Below are 17,947 nucleotides of genomic sequence, written 5' to 3'. Positions count from 1 at the left end.
TGTCTACTGTTGGTGTATATGAATGCTTGCGATTTTTGCACATTGATTTTGTACCCTGAGAGTTTGCTGAAGTTGCTTATCAGCTTAAGGAGATTTTGGACTGAGACGATGGGGTTTTCTAAATATACAATCATGTCATCTGCAAACAGAGACAATTTGACTTTTTGCTAGCAGTCTATTTTGTTGATATTTTCAAAAAACTAGCTCCTGGATTCACTGATTTTTTGAATGGTTTTTTGTGTCTCTATCTCCTTCAGTTCTGCTCTGATCTTAGTTATTTTTTGCCTTCTGCTAGCTTTTGAATGTGTTTGCTCTTGCTTCTCTAGTTCTTTTAATTGTGATGTTAGGCTGTCAAGATCTTTCCTTCTTTCTCTTGTGGGGATTTAGTGCTATAAATTTCCCTCTACACACTGCTTTAAATGTGTCCCAGAGATTCTGGTATGTTGTGTCTTTGTTCTCATTGGTTTCAAAGGACATCTTTATTTCTGCCTTCATTTTGTTATATACCCAGTAGTCATTCAGGAGCAGGTTGTTCAGTTTCCATGTAGTTGTGTGGTTTTGAGTAAGTTTATTAATCCTGAGTTCTAATTTGATTGCACTGTGGTCTGAGAGACAGTTTGTTATAATTTCTGTTCTTTTACATTTGCTGAGTAGTGTTTTACTTCCAATTATGTGGTCAATTTTAGAATAAGTGTGATGTGGTGCTGAGAAGAATGTATATTCTGCTGATTTGGGGTGGAGAGTTCTGTAAATATCTATTACGTCCACTTGGTACAGAGGTGAATTCAAGTCCTGGATATCCCTGTTAACCTTCTGTCTTGTTGACCTGTCTAATATTGACAGTGGGGTGTTAAAGTCTCCCATTATTATTGTGTAGGAGTCCAAGTCTCTTTGTAGGTCTCTAAAGATTTGCTTTATGAATCTGGGTGCTCCTGTATTGGGTGCACATATATTTAGGATAGTTAGTTCTTCCTGTTGATTTGATACCTTTACCATTATATAGTGGCCTTGTCTTTTTTGATCTTTGTTGGTTTAAAGTCTGTTTTATCAGAGACTAGGATTGCAACCCCTGCTTTTTTTGCTTTCCATTGGCTTGGTAGATCTTCCCCCATCCCTTTATTTTGAGCCTATGCACGTCATTGCACATGAGATGGGTCTCCTGAATACAGCACACCAATGGGTCTTGACTCTTTATCCAATTGCCAGTCTGTGTCTTTTAATTGGGGCATTTAGCCCATACACACTTACGGTTAATATTGTTATGTGTGAATTTGATCTTGTCATTATGATGTTAGCTCGTTATTTTGCCTGTTAATTGATGCAGTTTCTTCACAGCATCGATAGTCTTTACCACTTGGTATGTTTTTGCAGTGGCTGGTACTGGATGTTCCTTTCCATGTTTAGTGCTTCCTTCAGGAGTTCTTGTTAGGCAGGCCTGGTGGTGACAAAATCTGTTAGCATTTGCTTGTCTGCAAAGGATTTTATTTCTCCTTCACTTATGAAGCTTAGTTTGGCTGGATATGAGATTCTGAGTTGAACATTCTTTCCTTTAAGAATGTTGAATATTGGCCTCCACTCTCTTCTGGCTTGTAGGCTTTCTGCTGAGAGATCGCTGTTATTCTGATGGGCTTCCCTTTGTGGGCAACCTGACCTTTCTCTCTGGCTGCACACTTAACATTTTTTCCTTCATTGCACCCTTGGTGAATCTGACAATTATGTGTCTTGGGGTTGCTCTTTTCAAGGAGTATCTTTGTGGTGTTCTCTGTATTTCCTGAATTTGAATGTTGGCCTGCCTTGCTAGGTTAGTGAAGTTCTCCTGGATAATATCCTGAAGAGTGTTTTCTAACTTGGTTCCATTCTGCCTGTCCTTTCCGGTACACCAATCAAATGTAGATTTGGTCTTTTCACACAGTCCCATATTTCTAAGAGCATTTGTTCATTTCTTTTCACTCTTTTTTCTCTAATCTTGTCTTCTTGCTTTATTTCATTAATTTGATCTTCAATCACTGATATCCTTTCTTCTACTTGATCGAATCGGCGATTGAAGCTTGTGCATGTGTCATGAAGTTCTCGTGCTGTGGTTTTCAGCTTCATCAGGTCATTTAAGGTCTTCTCTACACTGTTTATTCTAGTTAGCCATTCATCTAACCTTTTTTTCAAGGTTTTTAGCTTTCTTGCGACTTGTTAGAACATGCTCCTTTTGCCTGGGAAAGTTTGTTATTACCGACCTTCTGAAGTCTATTTCTGTCAACTTGTCAAACTCATCCTCTGTCCAGTTTTGTTCCCTTGCTGGCAAGGAGCTGCGATCCTTTGGAGGAGAAGAGGCACTCTGGTTTTTGGAATTTTCTGCTTTTCTGCTCTGGTTTCTCCCCATCTTTGTGGTTTTATCTACCTTTGGTCTTAGATGTTGGTGACCTACAGATAGGGTTTTGGTGTGGATGTCCTTTTTGTTGATGTTGATGCTATTCCTTTCTGTTTGTTAGTTTCCCTTCTAACAGGCCCCTCAGCTGCAGGTCTGTTGGAGTTTGCTGGAGGTCCACTCCAGACCCTGTTTGCCTGGGTATCACCAGCGGAGGCTGCAGAACAGCAAATATTGCTGCCTGATGCTTCCTCTGGAAGCTTCATCCCAGAGGGGCACCCGCCTGTTTGAGGTGTCTGTCGGCCCCTCCTGGGAGATGTCTCCCAGTCAGGCTACACGGGGATCAGGGACCCACTTGAGGAGGCAGTCTGTCCATTCTCAGAGTTCGAACGCCATGCTGGGAGAACCATTGCTCTCTTCAGAGTTGTCAGACAGGGACATTTAAGTCTGGAGAAGCTGTCTGCTTCCTTTTGTTCTGCTCTGCCCTGCCCCCAGAGGTGGAATCTAGAGAGGCAGTAGGCCTTGCTGAGTTGCGGTGGGCTCTGCCCTGTTCAAGCTTCCCGGCCGCTTTGTTTACACTGTGAGCTACTCAAGCCTCAGCAATGGTGGATGCCCCCCACTGGTCAAGCTGCAGTGTCACAGGTTGATCTCAGACTGCTGCGCTGGCAGTGAGCAAGGCTCCGTGGGCTTGGGACCCGCTGAGCCAGACATGGGACAGTATCTCCTGGTCTGCTGGTTGCTGGGACTGTGGGAAAAGCACAGTGTTTGGTCAGGGGTATACCATTTCTCCAGGTACAGTCTGTCATGGCTTTGCTTGGCTAGGAAAGGGAAATCCCCTGACACCTTGTGCTTCCCGTGTGAGGCGACGCCCCACCCTGCTTCAGCCCACCCTCTGTAGGCTGCACCCACTGTCCAACGAGTCCCATTGAGATGAACCAGGCACCTCAGTTGGAAATGCAGAAATCACCTGTCTTCTGCGTCGATTTCGTTGGGAGTGGCAGACTGGAGCTGTTCCTATTCGGTCATTTTGGAAGTGACCACCCCCAAATTGTATTCTTAAATGGTCGGTAAATTATACAATTGAATCTTTATCAGGACAAATTTTCTTAACAAATAGGAAATTCCCTTGAAGGCCCTGAATTATCTGGCCCCTGTCTACTTTTATAATCTCCCCTTTACCCAGTGGCTTCAAATTCATGGGTCTTTCAGTTCTTCAAAATCACTCATCTCTTCCTACCACAAAGCCCTTCTAAGGGTGAATCCTTACTAAAAAATTCAGCATTGTGTCTTCTCCTCCTGAAGATGTTTTCTATCCACCCAATCTAAAGCAGGTTTCCTTGGTTATTCTTTTTGTGTGTGTGTGTGTGTGGCACTTAAAAACAACAAACAAACTTCACAGACCTTAACACAACTTGTAATTACATATCTATTTGTGTGTTTGATTTTTTCTCCTTTCCTCTCCATCATTAAGCTCTACCAAGGCAGGAATCATGTCGATCTGTTCACCACTGTGTGCCCACACACACTTATGTCTGTGACATAGGTTATTTCATCCATTTAATAAAAATGACACCTGTAATATGACCTTTCAGTTACAGACTTTGTAGAGTTAAAAAGTACCATAATTAAATTACCCTGATAATAATTTCAATTTAGTTGATGTAAATGTAGAAGTTCTACAGTAGAAGAAAAAAGGTTTTAATCCACTGTCAACTAAAAGGAAACTCATCTCTTTCGAGAAGCTGCTCATTTTAGTCTGGATTAAAATTTTTTTCCAACTAAAGTCATTTGGATTTCTTATTCCCCATTACAATCCTGGTCTAAGAATATAGTATGTGTATAATGATTTTAGAAAGTACAAAGCCTTTTATAAGAGTTAAGTGCTATTATAAATATGAAAATTTTAATAACACAATTATTAAATGAAAATGGTGAGGTAAAGCTCAATTAGAAATAAGTTACAGTGGGGCAACCTGCTTGGGTCCCCTTCCACACTGTGTGTGGAAGCTTTGTTCTTTTGCCCTTCACAATAAATCTTGCTGTTACTCAAAAAAAAAAAAAAAAGCTACAGTGATACCTGTATTAACCAATTACCACTATTTTTGTAAAGTTCACTTGTGTATGGGGGAGGGTTGCGTTAAGAAGATTGGCCTTCAGTTTCTTGTCACTATGGACTGAAGGACCTTTGGAAGAGGAGGCAGCTGTGGTACTGCCTCACTGAATATATTTAAGATTTTTTTTTATCGTGGTCAGCCCCTTTGAAGGTTATTTTACAATCCTAGTGCTCAAGGAATCCAGATCCAGTAACTTGAGAGTAGAGGAGACATCTCCTTGATCTAGGACGAACTACCTAATTTGTAGTGCCAAGAGTCACATGCAAATAAGGTATCTCTTGTTAAAAACTTACTAAGAACTTCAAGTTGGTGATAGCACAGCACTATAGCATATTAGGAGTAGGAGGCTCTTACAAGCACAGGGTTCTGTGTGATTGCACTGGTTGAATGCCCATAAAGCCAGTCCTAAGATCCAACCAGTCAAGCAGGATTATCCTCAGGTGATGGAGAGTCACTAAAAGTTTTTGCCTTGTTTTTGCTTAAGAAATTAAAAACACTACATAAGAAGACAATGTTTGAAGAAATTAAAGCCATTAAAAAATAACCAGAATTAGAAAGCATATTGATCCATTTCAGTGGCAAGAGATGTGGAAAGATCAAATTCCTTGGCATGGCATGTAAGTCACTTCATGAACTAATACCTTGCCTATCTTTTTAGGTTTAGCTTTCAAGACACCCTGTGATACCCTACTCGCAATGACTTAGTGTCCTGAATGTTCCAGGCTCATCTATGCCTTCATTCCTCTGCTAAAGCAGCTCCACGGTATGTATGGAATGCTCTTTCCTAGCTTAACTATCAAATACCTTTAAGATGCTAATTCTTTAGAAAGCTTTAATAACTTTATCCACCTACTCCTGTGTAGCCCCTACCATTTCCCCCCTTCTTTGTAGGTCCCACTGAACTCCATATAAACATTTAACAGAATATGTTTCTATAGCTTTTTAAAAATTATTTACTTATTTACATGTGTACTTCCCTCAAGCTGACTACTAGACTGGACAAGCAAATTTAGGACAGAAACCCTAACACCTCTTCTTACCCTATTATCCCCAGCAAAATTAGTCAGATGAGTTCAATAGCTGAATGGTTTTGAAACTGTAGACAATAATTTATAGTAATGTATACGATTAGCATTCATTCTTTCATTCTTAAATGAGACACAGGCATTGACCTGAAGTACTTCACTAAGAGGTACCAAAGAGTACAATTACAATACTGAATAAGAAATACAATGAATGTATAAATAGCTATCAGAGGTATAATCTTTCTTCTGTAAGAAGATATTCCTATACTTTTGTAATACCAATGGTTAGCATCTTAACTTTTGCCACATGATAAAACTTTCAAAGTTACAGAATATACTGTTAGAACCAATTCAGTAAATAATATACAATTTGTTTAGGGTGATTTCAAGAACTTACAAAAGATTATTGTCAGAAGTTCTAAATAATTTTTAAAACTAGCCAGTTCTAAAATGTAGGTAATATTCTAGAAATACAAGATGAAACAGAAAACTTTTCCAGAATACCAGCTTGGTCTTCTTTTCAGCTAGGGGAGATTAGTCATATTTGCAAATTTTAAATTTGTCTGCTTATGAATATAATTGCCATAGTGATTTAAACGTGTTCCTAGAATTAGATACAAATAAAATTTTTAAATGTTTTAATCTAAGATCCCTGTTACTCCTTTCCTAAATTTGTTCCCTCATTTTCTTTGCTTTGTTTACCATTATTTAAAACAGATTCTAAAGCAAAAGTCCCATTTATTCAGGAAGCACTAATTTATCTAGCCCAAAATGTATTCTCAATGCATGTATTTGCAGGATCTATCTGTACTCCAGTGGCAAGACAATTATATAGTTCCTAATAATTTGTTTCCTCTTATTGATAAGAAATCTAAAATTCATTAACAGATGGCCAATTTAATAAATTATGGTATAACCTTACAATAAAATGATAGGAAGGCTTTAAAAAGTATGAGGCAAATTTATACGTCTCACATGGAAAGAGGGTAATGATTGTTAAGTGAAAACCAAATTCAGAACCATGTGATAAAACGTATATTAAAAAATTATGTATGTATACAAATATTTATGTTTTGATATGCACAGTGGAAAGGTAGAAATCAAAATTTTTAACAATAGCTACCTCAGATGAATAAGATAAATATGTTTTTAAAAAGGGACTTTTTTTTTTTTTTGAGACAGAATCTCGCTCTTGTTGCCCAGGCTGGAGGGCAATGGCGTGATTTCGGCTCACCGCAACCTCCGTCTGCCAGGTTCAAAGGATTCTCCTGCCTCAGCCTCCCGAGTAGCTGGGATTACAGGCATGTACCACCTTGCCCGGCTAATTTTGTATTTTTAGTAGAGACGGGGTTTCTCCATGTTGGCCAGGCTGGTCTTGAACTCCCAACCTCAGGTGATCCGCCTACCTTGGCCTCCCAGAGTGCTGGGATTACAGGCGTGAGCCACCATGCCCGGCTAGGACTTAACAGTTTTGAAGATTCTGTTGGAAACTTTTTTACAATAAGGATGTAATATTTTCATAATGAAAATAATAAAAAAAAGATAACTTGAAAGAAGTTTTCTGCCATAAAACAGTCATAGCTCAGTATAAATGAGAATCTATATTAACAAGCTTTCCTTACTTTTTTAAAAGAAAAAGCATGTGACATGACTTTTTTTTTTTTGAGACTGAGTCTCGCTCCATTGCCCAGGCTGGAGTGCAACGGCATGATCTCCGCTCAATGCAACCTCTGTCTCCTGGGTCAAGTGATTCTCCTGCCTCAGCCTCCCGAGGGGCTGGGAATACAGGTGTGCGCCACCACATCTGGCTAATTTTTTATATTTTTGGCAGAGACAGGGTTTCACCATGTTGGCCAGGCTGGTCTTGAACTCCTGACCTCAAGTGATCTGCCCTCCTCGGCCTTCCAAAAGTGCTGGGATTACCGCCATGAGCCAACGCGCCCGGCCTACATCACATTTCTGAAATGGCAATTAAAGATTTTTATTTTCTTAGTTAAAAGACATTACAACATACATTTTAAGGGGCATTTTAATATTACTATTAAATATTAATAAAAATGTGATAAAGTCATGACTTAAAATGTTCAGAAAATCTTCTCTAAAGAGCCTATTTTTACTGTAATTATTAATATTCTGATTATATGAAAGAGCATCTTAAGAAAAACCACTAGCGAATGCCACATTTTGAGATATCTAATATTTGTATGATTATTCTTGTAGCTTGAGAAATACATACTTATCAGCCGTAAGCTTCCTTGTATATATACACATTATTTGTAAATATTTAATGAACAGTCATGTATGGATGAGATTGTGTGTAAGTATAAGCATGCATGATAACTAGTGTAAGAACATTCAAACCAGCACAGTTTTAATAATTTTGAAGATATGAAGTAGGAAGACTAAGAAGGATAATGAGGAGAATTATCCCAGAATATTAAGCAAGGTCAGATTTGTATACATAGGGTGATGCTGAGCTTGAAGAACCTGAAATATAATTTATCTACTATTTCATGCTTTTCCTTAGCCTAATATCCCAGAAGATCCTAAGTTTTAAGGTTTTAAAGAATAATTTATAAAGTTTAGCATTACATTTTTGAAAACTAATTGTTTTTTTTTCTATTTTTTTTAATTTGAGAAAATTTGTGTAATGATTCTTTCACTAGGATAGGATGACACTTTAATGTAACACATGAAATTAATCTCCGTTTTCCTCCTAAATTTAATTTTTGAGTAAAACAGGAAAGAATCTCTGATTATTTCACCTTCTGGGTTAAACCCATAATTGTAACAAGCTGTCATATCCTAGGTTGTTTAGGTATTATTGTTACCTCAGTAAAATACTCAGGTAAAGGTGAACCATCGCAGTCTGTATCTTCTGTTCTCTCTTCTGATAACTTCCCATTCATCTTTAATGTACCTGAGAGAGGAATATATAGGCCAAGAGGAATTTATAAAACTATTGAGGAAGTAGAAAAGTTTTCATTTGCCTGCAAAAGAAGGCAGTGTATAAACCAATATCCATAAATAGTTTCAATGTTTTAACTAGAAAAGTTAGGAAGAAATGATCAAGTACATTTTGGTATAAAATTTCTGGTTAAAATTATCTACTAAAATTAAAATGAGAATGGCTGGGGGAAAATGTTTGGACTAACCCTACTAGAAGTAAAAGCCATGATATAAATGATACATTTGGAGATCTCACTAATAAGGTAACCCACTTACAAATATGGAAAATAAAAAAAATAGGAGATAACAAATTCTGTTTTGTTTCTGAAATATTACACATGAATGAGGAACAGAAGAAGAACTAATGCATTACATATTTACTCAAAAAATGCTCCCTAGAGACGTTTTTGTACTCCATAGTATACCAATTTATTCATCTGGTTCACGTACCTGGACCACAGGAGTATCCTGCTGCATTATTTTCGTTTAAAAGATTCTGGGCTTCCTCATCCACAACATCCAGCAGAGACTGGATAACTTCAGCTTCTTGGGAATCATCATAAATGTCATCTTCTTGTATATAAGATTCTTGAAAAATAATAATTTACATGGGGTTTTACTTTAAAAATATTGACACGAGAAAGGGACAAGGTGTTAAACAGAATTTGCTAGGTGCTTTCAAATTTTAAGCAACCAATTTTAAAAGTAGCAATGACTGGAAAAGTAGTTTACACTAATGTGATCCAGTCATTTTTAGTTCTAAAACTACCCTGGCTGCTATGATGGAAGACCACACAAATGCAAATTACAAAGAATAAACTAAAATCAATGTTGGTGATACGGCTTTTCACAAGGCATTAATAATTTAATGTTTATTTTCTTAAATGACTCTCAATGTATTAATTTATGAAAGAAACAAAGTTATGTTACAATGATTAAGGATATAATAGATCAGACAAAACATCCTCAAGATACTTTTTCTAAACTATTAGGTAGCCTGTGAATTGCTACTTCACAAAATACAAGAAACACTGTAAAACACAGCAGCTATCTTTTCAATCATTTAAAAAAAATTAGTCTCAGAGACGAGAATGAATACTGGGACATTTATATATTGTTCTTTTGTTTATTTGACCAATAATCTTTCCCTTTAAAGCTACAGTAACATATAAAGCAAAGAAAAGAGGATACCTATTTTTTTTTAATTACCTGAATTATTAGGGCATTTAGAGTAATTAGATGACTGATTTGGAAAACTACCTTTGGGCAGAGTCAAGTTTGGTGATCCCTTTATCTGATAAGTAGAACATTTTCCTTTGGGGTACGATATTTCATTTATTTCTTCCCCAGCAACCTAAAGCATAAAACCAAAGCAAATCATCAGATAGTATTTTACTAACTTCCAGGATCGGGGGACTGCACATTGTCTCTCTCCTCTTCTTTCTTAGTACAAGATCCATTTTACATCTCTCCACCTTAGATCAGTGTTTGAAAGGAAATATCAGTGCAATTAAATGTGCATAGGGCATGGGGCTTCCCATCATTAAATATATCTGGAAATACTAGGTGAAACAACATTAACTCAAAATTTTTATTCCAGGAATTTTCACAGTCCTTGCTAATATAAACTTTGAGTTGCCAAAAGATAACTCTATTATGTAGTACTTCTTAAAATATCTGACTGTAGACATCTCTTTTTTGAAGCAATTTTATAAGACTTGTCTTTCATACAATTTTAAAAAAGTTTAATAGGACTATTAAAGCTTAGAAGTTGAGGGAAAGAGAAAATACCAACTTTTCAAGTACTTGTGAGTGTATTACATGGATATAGTCTCCAATTTAGTGACCTGATAATCTATTAGGTATAAAGATTTTCAAATCTAGTCTAAGTCTCATATAAATTTAAGAAAAATAATGAATTCATAACAATAGAATAATTATTGAATAGAATGTAAATTTTGAATGCAATGTTCAACTGTAAAGCACTTCATGGAGCATAGCCTATCAAAAGAAAAATCACTTGAAAAAAATGCAAAAATAAATGCTTGGAATAAATTAAAATAATTTTATACAAATAAAAGGTTGTGCTTTGCTCTCAAGGTTTCACTCATTCTATTAAGATAAAAAGTACACATGGTAGATGCAATAGAATTTTAAAAAATAAATAGTGGTAATATAATATCAAAAAGCATCACTGGATTATGAAACTCCATTCTCAATGAGAAATTAATAGTATAGATATTAGCATTCAAGGACACAGTATTGTTTGGGAGACTTCCTGGAAGATTTTAACTCCAACCAAAAAATGCTGGCAGCCATGAACAGCAAAAGTCCTGGTTTCTAGGGTTTTATGTTAATTTCACAAAAACTCAACTCTTCTTTCTTTCAACAACATACTGATTACTTAAAAAGAAGAGCACTATACAGTGTGAATATTACTAGAAATACATGAAAATTCAGTTGCTTTGGCTATGTGAAATTGAAGACATTCTGAATAAACAGAGAATAGTGAGTGTTGCTGTAGCTCAATTTCAACACATACAAATAACAAAAAATTTTTGCTTTTGTGTCTCAATCATTACTACCTTAAAATGTTCTGCTGTAATTATCTTTTCATGGCTTGCTAGACCAAATCACAAGTGTGAGACAACATAATGAAATGAAAGGTGTAGAATTTTGGAATTCTGGTCATGAAATTATTTTTCTCCTCCCACACTAAAGCCAGCTCATGTTGACATAATAAGACTTTCGGATTAATAAAAGAGCAATCCCTCAGCGCTGTATTTTACATGGAAAGCCATTCCATATTGAAGTTCAGAACATATTGTATGGGATGCATGTGGAATAAAACAATTCCATGAAATGAAGATCTAGCTCTGATCACTGTAGAAATGTATATTACATACCAGGAAGAAAACCACAAAAAGGGATGTTAGCCAAATGGGCATAAAAGTAGACTTAAAAAGAGCATGAAATGGAATTTAACTATGTATTAGTTTTGTTTAGTCACCCCTAGATTTCTCTGTGCTAATCTTAAATGATTAAAGCTCTCTCATTTAATCATTTGGTAAAGCATTTTCTAAGTCTTTCAAAAGCAAGTAAACCTACTTTTTATTTATTTATTTTTTTGCTACTTCTGTTTTTTCCTCACTGATTGCACAGATTTGAACTTGAAGGTTACTACTCGCCAAAAATAGCCCAAAGGAACAATTCCACTCTTAATTATATTATTCTTCTCTTCCCATGGTCTAAGAGACAATCAAAAGAATTTTACACATTAATAAGAAAAATCTCCGCACTAAAGTTATCTATTTAACTGGTTAGTGTATTTAAAAGCTGAGTGTGTGCTAAATGATGTACGGTTACCTATGTGAGGCTCTATGTTGTATGATTTACTTAGCAAGGCCTATTAGTTCAGTAAAATATAGCCTTACTATTAATATGAATATCTAAAGAAGACAAATATTTAAATATGAAATCAGTTTGGTTCAAAACACAAACATGCAGTTCCTCAGATAAGGAGGTATGACATGAAAGAGGGTGGGCTTTTTCTTACCGTGGAGAATGAATCATTAGGAGTGAGGGCAGGCTGGCTGCAAGACCCCACACTGTAGGAACCTGAAAGGACAATATAGGAAGTAAGGGGATGAGCCAATCCAAACCACAAGAGGGACATCAAAATAATTAAAGAAAACTCACATTTCTGGGATGTTGTTATTTTTATTAGTACACAAAAATAATTCATATTACAAAATGATTAAAAACCAAATAAATGGAATAATATTTGATTCCAAACCTCTAATATTTTTGGGTTTATCCCAAGGAAAAAGCTAATTTCTTTTTCTTTTTTTTTTTTTTCGACAGAGTCATGCTCTGTTGCCAGGCTGGAGTGCAGTGGTGCGATCTCGGCTCACTGCAACCTCTGACTCCCTGGTTCAAGCGATTCTCCTGCCTCAGCCTCCCAAGTATCTGGGATTACAGGTGTGTGCCACCATGCCCAGCTAATTTTCATATTTTTAGTAGAGACGGGGTTTCACCATGTTGGCCAGGATGGTCTTGATCTCCTGACCTCGTGATCTGCCCGCCTCGGCCTCGCAAAGTGCTGGGATTACAGGTGTGAGGAAAAAGCTAATTTCTTAAAAGAAAATAGTTCACATCAAAGCTCAGTTTGGGCTGAATGGTTCATGTGATACACTGATTATAATTTTTCGCACTGAATGGGTGATCCATCACAGGTGCTTAACTATGTTCACTTTACTATTTAAAAGAAGGTAGTAAGCTTTTTAAAGTCTGATTTCAAAAAGACTATCAATTCAACACAGGAAAATAAATTATGGATAAAACAGAAAAGAACTTTTAATGTATTTTTAAACCAAATGTTAATTTTAATTCTTAGCTATCATTACAAAAATTCAATATATTAAAAAAGGAGATTATATTTCACTTACAGCTAAAACATCACATATTTAAATATAACTTCATTCATTAAATTATATTTTCAAGAGACTGAGAAAAATACGGTAGAGTTTGGAAAACTTTATAACAAAACAAAGAAAGAAACAAATATAGGTAAATACATTTAAGAACCTCTATTTGGGAATGACCCTGAAATAATTCTGCCTAGAAAGATAAAAGTTGAGATGGAATTTTTATAGACAAGTCTTTAGAATTCTGTGGATGATGTTACAAAGAGTCCAAGAATGGATTTTAATATTCCTTGCAAGAAAAATATTATTAAATTTCTAAGAAAAATAAAAAAGTATACCAATAATACACCACCGGTTCAAAACAATCATATTGGCAGAGTATGAAACATAATAGTTGTAATCTCTTTCTCCTGTTCCCCTAAATGCTTCCTTCCCGTTTGTCCCACATAACCACTGAGCTGCTGTCACTATAATTTGCATTGTCTACAACTGTGTAATAGAATCATACAGTATGAACTATTTCTCTTATGCTCTGGCTTATTTAATTCAGAACATTTATTTTGAGTTTATTTTAATTATTTTTTTGCTTGTATCAATAGTCCATTCCTTTTTATTGCTGTGTAGCTTTTCATTGTTTGGATATATTACAACCAGTTTTTCAGTTCAACAGTTTTTGGACATTTGAGTTGTTTCAAATTTTGGCTACTACAAGTAAGTGCTAGAAACATTTCTGTCCAAGTTTTTATGTAGAATATAGGCTTACTTTCTTCAAGTGAACAGCTGGCAGTGAAAAAGCTGGATTATATTTTAGGTGTAAGTTATAATTTTTAAGAAATTGTCAACCTGTTTTCCAAAATGGATGTGCCATTTTACATTCCCATTACCGTAGGAGAGTACAGTAAAATGAATATATCCTTACCATTGCCTTTGGTTGACTTTGGAGCTGAAACAGCAGACCTCTTTGAGCTGGGGACCACTGGAAGATCATTTCTGTGTTGTAAAAAAAGACAACTGTAAATTGTCTTGGACATTGTAGCCTTGACCTCCCAGGCCCAAGCAATCCTCCTGGCCTCAAGCAATGCTCCCACCTCAGCCTCCCAAGGAGCTGGGACCACAGGCATGTGCCACCATGCCCAGCTATTTTTTTGTATTTTTTGTAGAGATGGGGTTTTTTCATGTTGCCCAGGCTGGTCTCGAACTCCTGAGTTCAAGCAATCCACCTGCCTAGGCCTCCCAAAGTGCTGAGATTACAGGTGTGAGCCACCGTGACTGGCCCGGGAGATATTCTTGACCCAAAAAAGATTAAGAATCACTTCTTTACGTAGGTTTTCTCTGGGCTTCAGTTTAACATATCACCCTATTTCCCCTTTTATTTAAAACACTGCTAATATTCATTATCTAATAACTCGGTTCACTGTCACTTAGTCAATAGTTTAAAGATAACTTAGAAATCACAGTTCATTAAGTTTTATATATCTAAAGCCCTTGATACGTGTTTTTCTTTTAAATTAAAGAGAAAATCTAGATGAAGTATTTCTATTCAAAGGATTATAAGAATGGTACCACCCAAAGTACAAAACAGCCAAAAAGATAGCACCTCAGAAATAGAAGATTAGTATGCAATCTTATTGTTGCTGATAATTGAGAGAAGAGGGGAGTTGCCTAAGGTGTACAGTATTGGGAGAGGCAATATACTTAAAGTTCTGAGTACCCCTGTATGTTCTTGCTGACTAGCCCCAAAATGCAAGGTCCTGACCTCTTTTTATCTGGGCCGTTTCTTAAGGTTGTATCTGCAGTGTGCAACCATGAAGGATGTGGTAACTTCTCTCCCCCAACAAAAAACAGGCTTTCTTACAGACTGCTACAAAATGGTGGGTTCCCAAGGCTCTTCTCATAGCATTCCTCTCCTATAATACAACCTATTGCATGTGTACAAATCCACAGGCCCACATACATCATTTTTTTTTTTTTTTTGGAGACGGAGTCTTGCTCTGTCACCCAGGCTGGAGTGCAGTGGCGCTATCTCGGCTCACTGCAAGCTCCACCTCCCGGGTTCACGCCATTCTCCTGCCTTAGCCTCCCGAGTAGCTGGGACTACAGGCGCCCGCCACCACGCCCGGCTAAGATTTTTTGTATTTTTAGTAGAGACGGGGTTTCACCGTAGAGGAAACTGGCATTGCAGTCTGGTGGTATAATGGCTTGTCCACATAAACCAGTACATGTTCATCCTTTAGTGCAAAAAGCCCTAATGGCATGTACCCTATTAAAATTCAGGACATCTCCAATATTATCTCTGTTTTTCTTTGTCATCTTTTTTTTTTTTTTTTTAAAGAAACATTTTCAAGGTTTGTCCAAAAGAAGGCCATATAGGTTCTTGGCTAGCGGAAGACAATTCAGAACAGCTGTTGCACACTTGGACTATCACCTTCTCCAGGCTGGCAGTTGATATCTTTTTTTTTTCCAACTCATTTTTATTAAAAAAATAAAAAAAAATGCTCCAACTATCAGTTTTACAAAATCTCTAAGGGAAACACAAGAGCAAGGTGCTGAGGTAAAAAACACCTGAGGTAGCTTTTTTTGTGTGTTTTTCTCGTTAAAAAAATCTGTAAATTTAACGCCCCGGGCCAACAACCTTGGTAAATTTCTACTTTCCTCCACTTTTTTTTAAAGAAAGAAATCATTTTGCTGAATATTGATGGCTTATACACCAAAATGCAAAAAGACAAAATACGTGCTTTCATTGTGGAATTTATTCTTTGTTTGGTTGATTGGTTGGTTTGATGGGTTCCTGTTTTCCTCTTCCAAAACGCTAGGACAAGTACCATTGACTCTTGTTCTTTTGAGTAACCAAGTGTAAGTTGAAGCTGGTTTGTGTGTTTTGCTTTTGTTCCTTTTGTGTGATGTGATACCAGGCACTGCTTTGCCTGGGTGGGCGGGGGGAGGTGCGTCACATACATCATTTTTACGGGACTTGGAAGACGTGGAACTGACACTAATGCCATGCTCATGCTGCTTGCTATGCATTAGTAATAGTCTTTTATCTCTGATTCAGGAGTTTTATGTCTTCTGCCAGTATCCATGTAACAAAGACAGGCTAGCTTATTAGCTTGCAAGTACAGTAAAATCCTAAACCCTTTACAGTTCCCTTTATGGAAGGAAGTCATAAACCAAGGAGTATGAGGAGTCTCTAGAAGGTGGACATACAGATAATTACCACAAGTATACATCACTCCATTATTGCTACCCTATGGACTTTAATAAAAGAGGGTAGATAAACACAATGAAGAGAGAGCTAGAAGAAGAACAAAGGAGAAAATAACTGTGACTACCATGACTGTATTTTTGGTGACGACAGCTAAGATAAAAGCAGAAAGACAAAAGAAAATGACTTCAAGGCTGAGCTGAAGAGTGCTCTACTAATTTTGAGGCAAAATATTCAGTTGGACCTAAAGTTAGCAAAAATGTTAATTTTCACAAAAATACTTTCCAGGTTGTTTGAAGACTTCCCTCCCCTCCTAATTAACATTCAAGTAGATCTATGAAAACAATTGTATGCCAATCCAATTTTTAGACATATATGAAGGAATCAAGTCAAAGACTATGTTCAAGGGGAAAAAAAAGTACACAATCTAATTTACAGGTTCAGAAGGAATAAATAAGCTTATCATCAATGATTTGATCAACAAGTTCCCATACTTTAAAAGAAATAATTCACAAACAAAAATGTGAATTTTTCCTTTATATGACTTAAGTCTGTAATCTAGAAAGCCTGGATTCCTGTAAATTGTGGTAGGCAGAATAATCCCCTTCCAAGATGTTTACATTCTAATGATTCTGTTCTAATCCTCAGAACCTCTGAAGATATTACTATTTATATGGCAAAAGAAACTGTATATATGATTAGGTTCAGATTTTGATGTGGGGAGGTTATTTTGGATTATCTGGGTGGGCCCATTATAATCACAGGGGTCCTAATAAGTGAAAGAGGGAGGCAGGAAAGTCTGAGTCACAGAAAGAGACGTGGCAACAGAAGCAGAGGGTGCTGCAGTTCCTAGCTTTGAAGATGGAAGTGAGCCATAAACCAAGGTGTATGGGGAGTCTCTAGAGGGTAGAAAATAGATTTTCTCCTGGGACCTACAGAAGGAATGCAGCCCTGCTGACACCTTGATTTTACCACAGTAAGGCCCATTTTGTATTTCAGACCTTCAGAACGTTAATATAATAAACTTGTGTTGTTTTAAGCCACTAAACTTATAGTAATTTTTTATAATAGCAATAGGAAACTAATACATTTTCTCAATCTGTTTCCATTATAAGTGAAAGAAAAGTTGCTATTAGCATGTTTTATAATGTGAAACTGTTATAAGGTTGAGTAGATGCGGTAGTTCTATGCCTCATGGGTAGCAGGCATGAAGTTCCAGTGGGATTAATCCTATCCCAGCTCTGGGAATGAGCCAGGACTGGCTTAAGCCAATCGATACTGATGGTCCCCAACTTACGATGGTGCAGCTTTATGACACTGTAAAAGTGACATGCATTTGGTAGAAACCATACTTTGAATACTCATACAATCATCCTGTGTTTCATTTCCATTACAGTATTCAATAAATTACATGAGATATTCAACACTTTATTATAAAATAAGCTTTGTGTTAGATGATTTTGTCCAACTGTAGGATAATGTAATGTAAGTAATGTAAAACTGTTTATGGTAGGCTAGGCTAGGCTAATAAGCTGTGATGTTTGGTAGGTTGGGTATTTTAAATGTGGTTTTGACTTATGATATTTTCAATTTACCATGGGTTTACTGGGATGTAACCCCACTGTATGAGGAGCATCTGTATATTCTTATCCCTTGCTTCCAACTTAGAGATTGACCTTAATTTAGGCATAACGCAATTGGTACACAGTACTTGCTTAAATAGTAGTGATTGGTGAGATTTCTGTTTGAAGACTGCTCTAGGTGATGTGATGTGGTATACAGGTGGGAAGTATGAAAATGATGTAGTCTTTTGAAAACTGATAACAGGGAGGAGGAAATAACTAAAAATAGCAAATAAATTAAGGTAGAGC

General features: G+C 36.6%; 1 protein-coding gene across 24 annotated transcripts in view; it reads right to left on the bottom strand.

The window, feature by feature from the left end:
* The window catches only part of PTPN13 (protein tyrosine phosphatase non-receptor type 13), a 220,847-nt gene that overhangs the window by 20,896 nt on the left and 182,004 nt on the right, over nt 1–17,947 (bottom strand). For 12 of the 24 annotated variants that reach the window (XM_011532165.3, XM_017008511.3, XM_017008512.3 and 9 more), the window contains 5 exons: nt 13,794–13,864; nt 12,004–12,065; nt 9,657–9,801; nt 8,898–9,035; nt 8,330–8,418 (listed from right to left, as the gene is read on the bottom strand). In XM_011532165.3, coding sequence (XP_011530467.1) covers nt 8,330–8,418; nt 8,898–9,035; nt 9,657–9,801; nt 12,004–12,065; nt 13,794–13,864 — 505 coding nt within the window. The remainder of the gene's footprint in view (nt 1–8,329; nt 8,419–8,897; nt 9,036–9,656; nt 9,802–12,003; nt 12,066–13,793; nt 13,865–17,947) is intronic. The other 12 variants (NM_080685.3, NM_080683.3, XM_017008514.3 and 9 more) reach the window with 1 other exon arrangement.

The sequence above is a fragment of the Homo sapiens genome, chromosome 4, assembly GCF_000001405.40.
Source record: "Homo sapiens chromosome 4, GRCh38.p14 Primary Assembly".
Taxonomy (NCBI): Eukaryota; Metazoa; Chordata; class Mammalia; order Primates; family Hominidae; genus Homo; species Homo sapiens.
The sequence above is the reverse complement of the archived record's forward strand: the minus strand, read 5'-3'. Positions and strand labels throughout refer to the sequence as shown.